Source organism: Homo sapiens, chromosome 5, assembly GCF_000001405.40.
Source record: "Homo sapiens chromosome 5, GRCh38.p14 Primary Assembly".
NCBI lineage: Eukaryota > Metazoa > Chordata > Mammalia > Primates > Hominidae > Homo > Homo sapiens.
In genome coordinates this window covers 160,210,234-160,226,359 of record NC_000005.10, presented here as the reverse complement: position 1 = coordinate 160,226,359, position 16,126 = coordinate 160,210,234, and the positions used below count along the sequence as shown (strand labels likewise).

The 16,126-nt window shown below is 46.5% G+C and overlaps 1 protein-coding gene across 2 annotated transcripts in view; it reads right to left on the bottom strand.

Annotated features, from left to right (window-relative positions):
* FABP6 (fatty acid binding protein 6) overlaps positions 1 to 16,126 on the bottom strand; it is a 51,342-nt gene that overhangs the window by 12,363 nt on the left and 22,853 nt on the right. For both annotated transcript variants that reach the window (NM_001130958.2, NM_001040442.1), the window contains one exon: positions 12,541 to 12,624. In NM_001130958.2, the coding sequence (NP_001124430.1) occupies positions 12,541 to 12,624 (84 nt within the window). The remainder of the gene's footprint in view (positions 1 to 12,540; positions 12,625 to 16,126) is intronic.

The following is a 16,126-nucleotide window of genomic DNA, read 5'->3' as shown; positions in this document are numbered from 1 at the left end:
CGAACTCCTGACCTCGTGATCTGCCCGCCTCGGCCTCCCAAAGTGCTGGAACTACAGGCGTGAGCCACCGCGCTCGGCCTATATTTACTCTTAAAATAGCTTTCAACGTCTTTTTTTCAAAAAATCCCTATAATCCCATAACCCTAATACAAGCAAACTGCTTTTATTAATTAATTAATTTATTTATTTGAGACAGTTTCACTCTATCGCCCAGGCTGGAGTGCAGTGTCACATCTCGACTCACTGCACCCTCTGCCTCCCAGGTTCAAGCCATTCTCCTGCCTCAGCCTCCCAAGTAGCTGGGATTATAGGCGCCTACCACCACGCCCGGCTAATTTTTCTGTTTTTAATAGAGACAGGAGTTTGCCATGTTGGCCAGGCTGGTTTCGAACTCCTGACCTCAAGTGATCCACTCGCCTCGGCCTCCCAAAATGCGGGTATTACAGGTGTGAGCCACCCTGCCCGGCCTTATATTTTCTACTCTCTTCCTCCCTCTTTTGCTATTTCTCTCCTTCTCCCTCATTATTGTTTTCTTTCTTATCAACTGTAACAGATATACAATAACCACACGCCACATAAATACAATATTGTATTCTATTTTTCTTCACCCAGCATTAGTTTGTAAACACGGTCCCATGTTTCTGAAAAGCTGTCAGGTTGGGCCAGGTGCAGTGGCTCATACCTGTAATCCCAGCACTTTGGGAGGCTGAGGCAGGTGGATCACAAAATCAGGAGATCGAGACCATCCTGGCTAAACAGTGAAACCCATCTCTACTAAAAATACAAAAAAATTAGCTGGACATGGTAGCAGGTGCCTGTAATCCCAGCTACTTGGGAGGCTGAGGCAGGAGAATCGCTTGAACCCAGGAGGCAAAAGTTGCAGTGAGCCGAGATCACACCACTGCACTCCAGCCTGGGGGACAGAGCGAGACTCTGCCTCAAAAAAAAAAAAAAAAAAAAGGTGGGGCTGGGCCCAGTGACTCATGCCTGTAATCCCAGTACTTTGGGAGGCCAAGGTGGGAGGATCACAAGGCTAGGAGTTCGAGACCAGCCTGGCCAACATGGCAGAACCCCATCTCTAGTAAAAATACAAAAATTAGCCAGGTGTGGTGGTGGGCACCTGTAGTCCCAGCTGCTTGGGAGGCTGAGGCAGGATAATTGCCTGAACCCAGGTGGTGGATGTTGCAGTGAGCCGACATCACACCACCACACTCTAGCCCGGGCAATAGTGTGAGACTTCATCTCAAAAAAAACAAAAAAAAAAAACTGCTATCAGGTTTGACCAGACATGGTAGTTCATACCTGTAATCCCAGCACTTTGCAAAGCCAAGGCCGGCGGATCACTTGAGGCCAGGAGTTCGAGACCAGCCTGGCCAACATGTCAAAAACCCTGTCTCTACTAACAACACAGAAAATTAGCTAGGCATGACGGCACGTGCCTGTATTTCCAGCTACTTGGGAGGCTGAGCCACGAGAATCACTTGAGCCTGGGAGGCTAAGCCTGCAGTGAGCCGAGATCATGCCACTGCACGCCAGCCTGGGGGACAGAGTAAGACTGTCTCAAAAAAAAAAAGAAAAAAAAAGGAAAAAATTATTGTAGAGACAGTCTCACTATGTTGCCCAGGCTGGTCTCAAACTCCTGGGCTCAAGTGATTCTCCCACCTTAGCCTTTCATAGTCCTGGGATTATAGGTGTGAGCCACCACACCCAGCCTTGAGTGGCATTTTAATTTCCTCCAAAAACTTTTCCTTTGCATTCACCACTCAGCTAACTATTTGACTCAAGAGACCCAGCTTTTGGTCTATCTCATTATTCCCCCATTAAGCTTAATCATTTCTAATGTTTGATTTAAACTGAAAGATGTGCTACTCCTCCTTTCACTTGAACACCTAGAAGACATTTTCAGCTTATTAATTGGCCTAATTTCTTTTGTTGTTGAGACAGGGTCTCCCTCTGTCACCCAGGCTGGAGTGCAGTGGCACAAAAACGCCTCACTGCAGCCTCAACCTCCCAGGCTCAATCAATCCTCCACCTCAGGCTCACGAGTAGCTAGGATCACAGGCATTCACCATCATGCCCAGCTAATTTTTTTATTTTTTAATTTTTATTTATTTATTTATTTTTGAGATGGAGTCTCGCCCTTTCGCCCAGGCCGGAGTGCAGTGGCGCTATCTCAGTTCACTGCAAGCTTCACCTCCTGGGTTCACGCCATTCTCCTGCCTCAGCCTCCTGAGTAGCTGGGACTACAGGCGCCCACCACCACGCCCAGCTAATTTTTTGTATTTTTAATAGAGACAGGGTTTCACCGTGTTAGCCAGGATGGTCTCGATCTTCTGACCTCGTGATCTGCCCGCCTCGGCCTCCCAAAGTGCTGGGATTACAGGCGCGAGCCACTGCGCCCGGCCAATTTTTTTTTTTTTTTTGTAGAGATGGGATCTCACTTTGTTGCCTAGGCTGGTCTCAAACTCCTGGGCTCATGCGATCCTCCCACCTTGGCCTCCCAAAGTGCTGGGATTACAGGCATAAAGCATCGTGCCCAGCCTAATTGGCCTAATTTCGATATTGTGTCTCAGGGAATAAGAAGGCCTGAGGAGGGAAAGAGAGATGGGGAATGGATGGAAGTTCACTATTTTGGCAGGGCACAGCAGCTCACGCCTGTAATCCCAGCACTATAGGAGGCCGAGGCGGAAAGATCGCTTGGGCCCAGGAGTTCCAGACCAGCCTGGCAATATAGTGAGACAAAAAATCATCTCTATAAAAAAATGTTTAAATTAGCCAAGTGTGGTGGCGTGTGCCTGTAGTCCCAGCTACTTGAGAGGCTGAGACGGAAGGATCGCTTGAGCCCAGGAGGCAGAGGCTGCATGAGTCAAGATTGTGCCACTGCACTCCAGCCTAGGCAACAGAGCGAGAATTTGTCAAAAAAAAAGGAAGAAGTAAGAAAGGAAAGAAGGAAGGAAGGAAGGAAGGAAGGAGAGAGGGAGGGAGGGAGGGAGGGAAAGAAGGAAGGAAGGAAGGAAGGAAGGAAGGGCGGGCAAAAATTCACTCTTATATGAGTGGAATTTATGGTACCCCAAAACAATTACAATGGTAACATCAAAGATTGCTGATCACCAGAACACATATAAAAATAATAACAAAGCTTGAATACTGTGAGAATTACCAAAATGTGGCCCAGAGACAAAGTGAAAAATGGTGCTGACAGATTTGTTCCACATGGGGTTGCCACAAACATTTGATGTGTGAAAAACACAGTTTCTCAGGGACACTGAGGCTGGAAGGTCACCTGAGCCTAGAGTTCAAGACTGAAGTAAGCTATGATCATGCCACTGCACTCCATCCTGGGCAACAGAGCCAGATCCCATCTCTAAAAAACCTAAAAAATAAAAATAAAATACGGTATCTATGAACTACAGTCAAGTGAAGTGCAATAAAACAAGGTATGCCTATATTTCCTTGAGCTAAAGCCCCAGGATGGGACTACAAACTTAAGGGGTCTAGAACATTCTTACAACTCATACAATGTTTTGTCAAATTGGGATTGAATTACTTTACACCCAGCTTAACTGGGACTCAGAGTTTCAAACATCTTTGGTACTTTCCTGCCCCTCAACATAACAAATTGGGCCATCTTGAGAATTTTTCTTTTCTTTTTAACAACTTTTATAATAAAAAGGGGGTTTATTTTCTGATTATAAAAGTAACATATCTTCATAGTAGAAAATCTGTGGCCGGGCATGGTGGCTCATGCCTGTAATCCCAACACTTTGGGAGGCTGAGGTGGGTGGATCACCTGAGGTCAAGAGTTTGAGACCAGCCTGGCCAACATGGCGGAACCCCATCTCTAGTAAAAATACAAAAATTAGCCGGGTGTGGTGGTGGGCACCTGTAGTCCCAGCTGCTTGGGAGGCTGAGGCAGGTGAATCACTTGAACCTGGGAGGCGGAGGTTGCAGTGAGCTGAGATGGTACCACTGCACTCCAGCCTGGGCAACAGAGCAAGACTCCATCTCAAAAGAAAAGAAAGAGAAGAAGAAGAAAAGAAAATGTAGGAAGAGACCAGCCGGGGCAATATAGAGACCTCATCTCTACTAAAAATTTAAAAATTAGCAGGTGTAGTGGCATGTGCCTATGGTACCAGCTACTTTGGAGGCAGAGGCAAGAGGATCACTTACACCTGGGAGACTGAGGCTTCAGTGAGCTATGATTGCAATACTGCATTCAGCCTGGGTGACAGAGAAAGACCCTGTCTAAAAAAAAAAAAAAAAAGAAAAGAAAAAATTTGGAAAGAACAAAACACAAATAAATTTGAAGCTACCTATAATCCTTCCAAACAATCTTATTTTTCAATTGTAAAATTAATGCATACTCATTGTTTAAAAAGACAAAAGCTTAAGACTTTGTAAAGGTTAAAACCGCAGATCCCACTACATCTCATTTTCCAGAGCCAGCTGCTGTTAAATTCAGTAGATAAACTTCTAGATGTTTTCCACATGGACACAAACATATTTGTGCATATCCTTTTTTCCTACTGGTTTTAACCAAAATGAAATTCGGAGACACTGTTTTGTCTTGCTCTTTTTCACATAGCTATATACATAGATATACATCATGGACATAAATGAGTCTTATTTCTTCATGGAAACTGAAAAAAAACTCCATCCATTATTCAAAGGGACTTGCCAAATGGACAAATCCACTAATAGAGTATGTTTTGTCGCCATGCTCTAGGCATGAGAAACAATGAAAAATTCACCATCTCCCTGAAAACCTTGGGGGAAATAATTTTACCACGGTAATGGAGATGCAAGTCAGCCAGAAGGTGACAGCCAGTGAGTGAGCTAGAAAGGTTTAGGGGGTGAGGCACAGTCTCCTGGAGTCTTCTGGGGTCTCTCGTCTTGGAGGAAGTTCGTACCTTGTAAAACCCCTCCTTCCTGCCTTGGCCTGCCTGGAATGACTGCTCACCTTTCATCAGTCTTTCTGAATTCTAATTGTCCTTCACCCCCGCCTCCTCCAATCAGGCTTTTTTGATTAGTCCAACCTGTAGAGATTGTCCCTTGCAAAAATCCCCAGAGCCTGTACCTTCTCTTTGTAATGACTCAGTGGGGGAACCTGGGCTTTAGAGTCACTCAGCCTTCTCATGTCTTAGCTCTGAGACTTCAGACACACCATTGATTCATTCAACAAACATCACCTGAGCATCTCTAGTTCACTGGGTTCTGGAAATACCAAGTACCTGTCCTCAAGTCTCAAGTCTTTTTTTTTTTTTTTTTTTTGAGAGAAAGTCTCACTCTGTCACCCAGGCTGGAATGCAGTGGTACAATCTCGGCTCACTGCAACCTCCGCCTCCAGGGTTCAAGCAACTCTCCTGCCTTAGCCTCCCAAGTAGCTGGGATTACAGGCCCCCATAGACCACGCCCGGCTAATTTTTGTATTTTTAGTAGAGACGGGGTTTCACCATGTTGGCCAGGCTGGTCTTGAACTCCTGATCTCAAATGATCCACCCACCTCAGCCTCCCAAACTGCTGGGATTACAGGCGTGAGCCACGGCGCCCGGTCTGTCCTCAAATCTTGTAGGAGACACAGTCCCATAAACAGGCAGTTACAACATGATGTGATCAAAGAAATAAAGACTGTAACATAAGGATATTTTTGGAACACAGAAACATTACCCGACCACTTCCTGAGTATGAGGGAAGGCTAATATGAGAAGAATTAACAAATAAGGCAAAGCCTTATTTATTATTAATAATAATTATTATTATTATTAGGCAGGGTCTCACTCTGTCACCCAGGGTGGAGTGCAGTGGCACAATCAGCCTCAGCCTCACAGGCTCAAGAGATCTTCCTGCCTCAGCCTCCCAAGTGGCAGGGACCTCAGGCATGCTCCACCACGCACGGCTAATTTTTTAACTTTTAGTAGAGACGAGGCCTCACTTGTTACCCAGGCTTGTCACAAACTCCTGGACTCAAGCGATCCTTCTGCCTTGGCCTCCCAAAGTCCTGGGATTACAGGTGTGAGCCATCACCTGGCCTCATTCATTATTATATGGGGAAAAAAATACCGATCTTCCAGAGTTTTAATGAGATTAAATGAAAGTACATAGCAAAAGTGCTTAGTACAGGATCTAGCATTTCACAGGTGATTGTTGAAGGATATCTACTGTTATTCTCACTCACTGGCAATTCGTCCAGCCTAGCTGCCTATTTTGAACTACTGTTTATATATTGCAGCATTAATTTAACCCTTCACAAAGTGAGTCTTTTATCTCCCAACTACATTGTGATCCCTTCCAGGCCTCAAGCTGCATTTCATTTTTCCTTCTGTATGTATTCCTGGTGGGTACTGGGATAGTGTTGATTTCACTTTATTTGTTCAGATCTATGTGGAATAGGCTGTAAGGCTGTGTTCATACGCTACTGGGGATGTAGGAAGGGAGGGCTTGTGAAAAATAGAAATCCCTGTGACCTGACCCCCCAAAATTCTGGTTTGGTAGGTCTGGGGTGGGGCCCTAGAATCTGCATTTTGACAAACTCCCCAGTGATTGTACTGCTCAGCAGCCTTGAGAAGCTCTAGGCCAGGGGATGTGGGCAAGAAGGACCAAGTGGCTTCTCCAGGCCCCCGCTTAACTCCCTTTCCCATTGATTTCCTTCTGCACGGTCAGAGCTGTTTTTTTCCTTAGTTGCTACTCTTCCAAGGTCAGTGTCCAAGGCAGGATGGGAGTGGTGGGGCTATGGGAAAGGATGACATTGGCACTCAGCTGACTGACTCAGCCATGCTCCCACCCCTTCCCTAGAGTCTAAGTGTACATCTGACCCTCCACCTTCCATCCACCCATGCCCGCCTCTTCCCCTCTTCTCCTGGGTTTACCTATTTGTTCAGACCCTCATTGAGAACCTCCCCGGAGGGGTGAATGAACTCAAACTGCCTCCATATCACAGTGAAGTTTTATGAGGCAATAGAACCAATAGAACAACTATACCCCAATAGAGATAAAGAAGAGCCCAAGGCTAATTCCCCTGGGCCACCCCAGCTTTCCACCTGAACTCTGGCCCCTGCCTCAGCCAGCTACCATTATTCTCAGAGTAATGCCTGGAGAAGGGGGTGGGAATACAGGTTCTTGAGTCCATGGGTGAGGAGGAGCCCTGGGCACCCTCCTATTCTCTCCATCCCCAGGACCTTACAGGTCTTGCATAGAGTAAGTGAACTATCAGAGTTATCAATTCCTTGATTAAACTCCCCTTCCTCTTTCCTCCACTAAAATCTGAAATACTAGTTGGCATCGATCCCTAGAATGTCAGAGCTAACTGGAGCCTCTGAGAACAATATTTTCCCATGATGATACTTCTAGTTTTACTCTCAAGAATCAAAGACCAGGAGTTTGAGATCAGTGTGGCCTACATAGTAAGACCCTGGCTCTAAAAAAATTAAAAAACAATTAGCTAGGCATGGTGGCTTGCGCCTGTAGTCCTAGCTACTGAGGAGGCTGAGGTGGGAGGATCACTTGAGTCCAGGAGTTTGAGGCTACAGTGAGCTATGATTGTGCCACTACAATCCAGCCTGGGTGACAGAATGAGACCCCAACTCATAAAAAAAAAAAAAAGGCCAGGCGCAGTGGCTCATGCCCGTAATCCCAACACTTTGGGAGGCTGAGGTGGGAGGATCACCTGAAGTCAAGAGTTCTAGACCACCCTAACCAACATGGCGAAACCCCGTCTCTACTAAAAATACAAAAATTAGCCAGGCATGGTGGCGGGTGCCTGTAATCCCAGCTACTCAGGAGGCTGAGGCAGGAGAACTGCTTGTACTCGGGAGGCAGAGGTTGCAGTGAGCTGAGATCGCGCCTTTGCACTCCAGCCTAGGAGACAGAGTGAGACTCCATCTCAAAAAAAAAAAAAAAAAGTCAAAGACTAAGATAAGAAAATCCAGTTGGCGCTTTGTTTATCCACAATGAGACACGAAAGAGACAGAGACTCTAGGCACAGGCTGCCTAGGTTTGAATCCCAGCTCTGTCACTTACTGGTTCTGTGGCCTTGGGCACCTTATTTATTTTTTTGTGTCTCAGTTTTCTCATCTGCAAAATCTGGATAATAATGGTGCCTATCTGAAGGGGATGTTACTAATGTTAAGTGAGTTCAGCCAGGGGTGGTGGCTGCCACCTGTAGTCTCAGTGACTCAGGAGGCCAGAGGCCAGGAATTGGAGACCAGCCTGGGCAACACAGCAAGAACTTGTCCCTAAAAAAAACAAACAGAAAACCTAAGCTAGGCATGGTGGCCTGTGTCCGTAGTCCCCCTGCTACTCGAGGGGCTAAAAGAAGGATCGTTTGAGCCCAGGAGTTCAAGGCTGCAGTGAGCTATGTTTGTGCCACTGCACTACCTCCTGGGTGACAGAGCAAGACTTGACTCTAAAATAAATAAATAGGCCAGGCACAGAGGCTCATGCCTGTAATCCCTCCTCTTTGGGAGCCTGAGGTGGGAGATTTGCTTGAGCCCAGGAGTTTGAGATGAGCCTGGGCAACATAGGGAGACCCCATCTCTACAAAAAATAAAATAAAGTAAATCAACTGGGCATGGTGGCATGTGTCTGTAGTCCCAGCTAGTCAGGAGACTGAGGTGGGAAGATCACTTGAGCGTAGGAGTGGAAGGCTACAGTGAGCCATGATCATGCCGCTGCACTGCAGCTTGGGCAACAGAGAGAGATTCTGTCCAAAAATAATAATAATAATAAAATAAATAAATAAATAAGATAAAATAAAATAAATAAATGAGTTCATTTTTGTAAAGTACTTTTCGCAGCACCTGGCACAGAGTATATAAGAGTGTGTTAAGTGAGTGTGTTAAGTAACTGTTGGGGCAGGCTGGCCGTGCAGCTTCCACGATGCTCTGTCCAATTCCCAGCTTTGCAGTGTTAATCATTTCCCTCATCTCCAAGTGTCAGATGTACTAGCATTCAGCCCTTCTTCTTGTCTTTTCTCTGAGCCCTCATTCCCTTGGTGATTTCATCCAGCCAATAGCTTTAAATATCATCTTTTGCTGATGACTCTAATTTTTTTCCTCCATCTCAGATCTCTACTCTGAACTTAGTATATCCAACTGCCTGCCTAACAGCTCCACTCTATGCCTTATGCCATTTCTAACTGACATCCAAAAGTCCTGTTCTGCCCTCAACAAAACTTGCTGCCCCCATGGAGCATCTCAGTTGATGGAAAATACTGAGAGCCAAGATCTAACATGGACCTGCAATGCGCCAAGTCCTGTGCTAAATGCTTTACATAAATTATCATCCTATCCTCCCAACCAGTCTTGTATGTCAGTCCTGATATTACCCCCATCATGTAGATGAGGAAACAGAGGCTCAGAAATAACATGTCCAGGTGGTAAGCGGAGGAGGATGTCTGGCTACAGGTCCTGCACTCTTGTCCACTAACTAAAAGGAACAATTTGATTACATGTAGCCTTCAGAACCAATCAGGGTCTTGGAGACTGATTGCTCCTTTGGTACTTAGTGAATGACCCCAAAGCACCAGACAACCATGCTAAGCACTCAACACATGGCATCTCTGTTAATCCATGCAACAAACTTCTGAGAGGGCTGTAATAATCCCTACTTACAGAAAAGAAAGTCTAAGTTCAGAAAGGTTAGGTGACTTGTCCAAGGTTACACAACCAGTCATTGATTAAGTTTGGATAGGAATTCAGTTTTTTCTGAACTAAGTGGTGCTTGCTACCACCATGCATCCTGCTGGCTGTCTGATCCAGCAGTGGAATGCCAGTCTGTTAAGTTACAATGAGGGCCAGGCAGGCACGGTGGCTCATGCCTGTAATCCCAGCATTTTGGGAGGCTGAGGTGGGTGGATCATCCGAGGTCAGGAGTTCGAGACCAACCTGGCCAACATGGTGAAACCCCATCTCTACTAAAAATACAAAAATTAGCCAGGCATGGTGGCACGTGCCTGTAATCCCAGCTACTCAGGAGGCTGAGGCAGGAGAATTACTTGAGCCCAGGAGGCAAAGGTTGCAGTGAGCTGAGATTGTGTCACTGCACTCCAGCCTGGGTGACAGAGTGAGACTTGGTCTCAAAAAAAAAAAAAAATTACAATGAGAACTGTAAGTCATATATTCATCATTTCATTCACTCAATAAGTACTTACTAGCACAAGGCTATGTGTTAGGGGATGGAGATACACAGCAGAAGACAAAATTGTCTCACCCCATTGAATGAAGCTTCCAGCTTCGCAGCTCATCAATTTTCCCCAGTTCATCCCCTACTCAGCCTCATCTGCTTTCCTATCCAGCCCATGGATGTATCCCTACTCTGCCAGGACCCTCAATGTCCTTCCGCCACATTGGCTTCCCAGGCCCCATCCTTACACACAAGAAAGCATTTGTCCTTCTACCTCCCATCTGCAGGACTTACACCTGCAGCCAGAAGAAGTGGCGCAACTGGGGAGGAGGGTAACACCACCTCAAGTTCATGACCCTCCCTCAGCAGGGCTTTGGGATACTCACTGGTTCTTTCCTCTCCTTGTTGGATGAATCCCACCCCATTCCTCACAACAGCAGCTGGTTTGAAATAACCTTTACCTTCTTATCAAGTCTCTTACAAAATTCCCACCACCTCCACTTCCCCAGTTCTAATTCCTCATGCCTTTACTTCTTTTTTTCTTTTTTTTTTTTTGACAAGGTCTTGCTCTGTCACCCAAACTGGAGTACAGTGGCAAAATCATGGCTCATTGCCACCTCAACCTCCTGGGCTCAGGCAATCCTTCTGCCTCAGTCTCCCAAAGTTTTGGGATTACAAGTGTGAGCCACCATGCCTGGCCACCGTCACCTTTTTTTTTTTTTTCTCTGAGACAGAGTTTCACTCTTTTTACCCAGGCTGGAGTGCAGTGGCATGATCTCGGCTCACTGCAACCTCTGCCTCAAGGGTTCAAGTGATTCTCCTGCCTCAGCCTCCCTAGTAGCTGGGATTACAGGCACCTGCCAACACACCCGGCTAATTTTGTATTTTTAGTAAAGACGGGGTTTCACCATGTTGGTCAGGCTGGTCTCGAACTCCTGACCTCAGGTGATCCGCCCACCTTGTCCTCCCAAAGTGCCGGGATTACAGGTGTGAGCCACTGCGCCTAGCCCACCATCACTTTTAATGGCCATATTGTAATCCATTGTACAGACATATCACAACTTACTCAGCCATTCTCCTTTTGTTGGACAGTGAGGTTAGGAAAATAAAATTGTATACATCAATAGGAAACACCACAACATGGGGAAAACAAAAACAATAGCATTATTCAAAACTATGTGTTAACATGAACAGTGTTATTTGAGGCAACTGGAATACAGCTGAAGTTCCACTGGATGGCCATGGGTCATAAACTAGTGGAGGATAGTGACCTCTGAGATGGTGACCAGGGACAAGCTGGGAAGTTCTGCAGGGCAGCCACCTCACTAGGAACAGTATCTGCCAGACAGGGAAAACCTTTATTTTCTGCTTCTGTTTTGTGTCTCTGCCTGTTCCACAACCCACTTTTGAGTTGAGTTGATGGGATTTCTTTCTTTCTTTCTTTCTTTTTATAGAGACAGGGTCTCCCTATGTTGCCCATGCTGGTCGTGAACTCCTGGGCTCAAGTGATCCTCCTGCCTCAGCCTCCCAAAGAGTTGGGATTACAGACATAAGACACTGCACCTGGCCAGTTGATGAAATTTCTGACTGTTGTAGACAAGGTCCTTTGAGTCACAAGTCAAGAAATCCACTTGAGGCCAGGCATGGTGGCTCATGCCAGCCACATTGGGTGGCTGAGACAGGAGGATCACTTGAGTCCAGAAGTTCGAGACCAGCATGGGCAACACAGGGAGACCCCGTCTCTACAAAATTAAAAAGAAAACGAAATCCACTTGAGGCCAGGTGTGGTGACATACATCTGTAATCCCAGCACTTTGGGAGGCTGAGGTGAGAGGACTGCTTGAGGCCAAGAGTGCAAGACCAGCCTGAGCAACATAGCAAGACTGTGTCTCTACAAAAAATTTAAAAAATTAACCAGGCATGGTGGCACGTGCCTGTAATCCCAGCTAATAGGGAGGCTGAGGCTGGAGGATCACTTGAGCCTAGGAGTTCAAGGCTGCTATGAGTTATGATTACATCACTGCACTTCAGCCTGGGTGACAGAATGAGACCCTGTAATAAAAATTATAAGAGAGAAGAAGGAAAGAAAGAAAGAAAGAAAGAAAGAAAGAAAGAAAGAAAGAAAGAAAGAAAGAAAGAAAGAAAGAAAGAGAAAGGCAGGCAAAACCTACTTGAGCTAGCTTAGGTTAAAAAATAAAAAAGGTGATTTATAAAGTTGAACCATCAGCATGTATAACTGCTGATATTTGACCTTTTTGACCTATAAAAACAACAATTTCAGATGGTGCAACCTAATATTCTAACAATGCAGAAGGATCTCAAGGAGCCCAGGGATAGGACACAAAGTCTAGGTTCATGAGGAACTAGAACCAGAATCTGAAAAACGTCAGGAACCCTTCCCTCCCTTCTTCTACCCCATACCTTTCCTTTATGTGTCTGTTTCATTCTCTGCAGGTCTCCTTTCCGGCTCACCCATGTGCACGCAGACAACACAGCTCTCAGAACCTGAGTCAGAAGAGAAATAATCTGATTGGCCTATCCTGAGTCAAGTGGGCATCTCTGGTCCAATCAGCTCTGTGCAGGGAGGCAGAGCTCCTCATAGCAGCGCTCTTAATTGCAAGCAATGGAAACTGATTTGAGCAAAAAAGAAATTTATCAAAAGGATATCGACTGGATCACAGACTTTTCAGGCTTGGAAAACAGACAGAGACAGGACAGGACAAACAGCTAGAACCACAGCCACAATCACATCACAGAAATGATTTTGTAAGGATTCTGCTGCCAAAGGCTGGACTGGGCAATTTGCACCCCTATCAAGGGTAGCACTGCATGCGGACCCTGCAGCCACCATTTCCCTGGGCATAGAATATGGCCACCACCACCAGAATGGATTCTCTTGTCCCTGCTTATTTGTATCATGAGCTGCAGAGGCTGAGCCCACCTCATGTCCATGCACCCTCATTGCCATCGGGCGATGGGACAAACGGGACATGAGTACTGGCCTTTTCAGCTTTGTACTAGAAGGTGGGCCCACCTTTCGTTGGGCCCCATGTAGTGGAAAGTTCTCTAAACATAGAAAAGGGTACAGATGCTTGATCCCACCAAAAGCGTCATGTGGTACCAACCATCTCGACCGTGAGGGCCAACTGCTCTGGGTGGACAGTTCTTGAAGAAGGGACTGTGGGCTGGATAGGTGCCCAAAGAGTGTCCGTGACAGTTACCTCTCCCCAAAGATTCTACCCAGCTCATGTGCCTTCTATGAAATCTTTCCTCCTCCCAATCCATCCCATCCTGGCTCTTTTCCACTTAGAACTTGCATAGGAGGGCTGGACGTAGTGGCTCACACCTGTAATCCTAGCACTTTGGGAGGCCGAGGCGGGCAGATCACTTGAGGTCAGCAGTTCAAAACCAGCCTGGCCAACATGCTGAAACCCTGTCTCTACCAAAAATATTTTTAAAATTAGCCAGTTGTGGCCGGGCACGGTGGCTCACACCTGTAATCCCAACACTTTGGGAGGCTGAGGCAGGCGGCTCACAAGGTCAGGAGATCGAGACCAGCCTGGCTAACACGGTGAAACCCTGTCTCTACTAAAAATACAAAAAAATTAGCCAGGCGTGGTGGTGGGTGCCTGTAGTCCCATCTACTCAGGAGGCTGAGGCAGGAGAATGGCGTGAACCTGGGAGGCGGAGCTTGCAGTGAGCGGAGATCGTGCCACTGCAGTCTAACCTGGTTGACAGAGTGAGACTCCGTCTCCAAAAAATAAAAATAAAAATTAGCCAGTTGTAGGGCCAGACGCAGAAGCTCATGCCTGAAATCCCAGCACTTTGGGAGGCTGAGATGGGCAGGTCATGAGGTCAGGAGATGGAGACCAACCTGGCTAACATGGTAAAACCCTGTCTCTAGTAAAAATACAAAAAATTAGCTGGGCATGGTGGCGGGTGCCTGTAGTCCCAGCTACTTGGGAGGCTGAGGCAGGAGAATCGCTTGAACCCAGGAGCCAGAGGTTGCAGTGAGCCGAGATTGTGACACTGCACTCCAGCCTGGGCAACAGAGAGAGACTCCATCTCAAAAAAGAAAAAGAAATTAGCCAGTTGTGTGGTGGCAGGCGCCTGTAATCCCAGCTACTCAGGAAGCTGAGGCAGGAGAATAGCTTGAACCCAGGAGGCGGAGGTTACAGTGAGCTGAGATCACACCATTGCACTACAGCCTGGGCGATAAGAGGGAGACTGCATCTCAAAAAAAAAAAAAAAAAAAAAGAACTTGCATAGGAAGGCACAGGATGAAATTGTTGTTGTTGTTTTTCTATCTGAGATATAAGCAGCTGGAAGGCAGGAAGCCTGCCTTATGTTTCTGTTTGGCCTGTGCAGGGCAGGGCCTATAACTGTGCAGTGTCTATACCTGGGCCTTTACATACTTGTTGGTCGGCTCAGGCATCAGCCAAAGCTCTTACAGATCTAAGTAGCAGACACGGACTCTTGGTGACAAACCAAAAAATAAAATTTTTGGAAACGTATGGAGTAACTCATAGAAAGGATGAAAAAGCTCCACCACCAGGCCTCCAGATAGCACATAGCACCAGGAAGCAAGAAGGAAGGGACAGTCCCTGGGGCACTGCCAACCCATTGATTACCTTCAACAATCCTTCATCCTTATAGTACTGCACTCATGACTCAAAGTCCCAGCTTGGACAGTTACAGGCTCTGTCACTTGGACAAGTCACTTAACCTCTGTACTGGGGTGTCCTCGTTGACAGAATAGAGCTAAAAATAAAGCCCACTTCCTTAACTGGCAATGGGAGGGTTGGATGCTCAGTACATGAAGATCCTTAGAAAGGGGGCCAGCACCTAGCAAGCACTTCATAAATATCAGCTACTAAAAAATACCAGGAGAGAAAGCCCAATGGGCTCAGCCGAGGACATGTATTCCCTCTGGGGGTGGGTGAGGCCAGTGGAGGCTCTTAACTGACAGTCCCACAGAGACCCACATGCAGCAGTATCTTCAAGGAGCAGCTCTCCAAGAAACACAGAAGTACACTGACAGAAGAAGGGGGAAAGGATACTGGGCAGGCAAGAACATAAGTGCCCATGATGACTTCTCAGCTCCCCAGGACAGAAAAAGGGTCCGACTCCAACATCTACAGGTTTGATCTAGGGCAGTGGCTGGGAAGAAGGAAGAAGATTGAGAGGCATGTCTAACAACGTCCAAGCAATCTCCCTACCAAAGCAGCCCATGACCCTTGAAAGATATTGCTTCAGAAGAAAGTCAGATGGCAAAAGGTCGTCCCGCTCCCATGCAATCATTCATTGCCCCCTCTCCTGCCACTGGCAAACCGTGATTAATTCCTGTGGCAGCCGCAGAAATCATTCCTAATGAATTTCTAATGAACTCATTTGGTGTTAATGCGGTGTGTAATTCTGCAGGACACTCGTTGTAATTTAGCCTTATTAAATCTCTAGTTATTGGGAACTACTATTGCTCTAAGCTCATAAGCAGGAGAAAAGTAATTATGCAGAGCAAGCGGTTAAATTATGAAAAGGATTGGACATTCTGAGAAGGCTGAGACGTGGCTGCTCCTGTGTTTTCTCCCTGGGGTGCACTGCTCTACAAAGGTGAGCAGGCTGTGCAGGTCTTCGAGCTGAGGCAAGAATGCCCACCTTGACTTCTGTTCTGCAGTGTTAGAGCTGTGCAGGCTGCCCCTGTGTTCTGGTATTTTTAAGGGCCAACCAAAGGTGGCCTTGTCCCCACATGATCTACCCCACTTGCCCACTGCTTGGGCCTGAATTTCCACCATAGGGATAGATTCCTTCATGTTTGAGGTGCTGTTCCAGGTTGAAAGGTAACTTGTACCACAGTTCAGAGAGCAGTCACTGATAGGTTATCTCATCTGATGATCACAGCTTCTCAATTATTGTCATTAAAACCCTTTGACAGATAAGGAGATTAAAGTTCACAGAGGTGAAGCCACTGGGCTCCCAAGGTCATCACTGGGTGCCAGAACTAGGAACA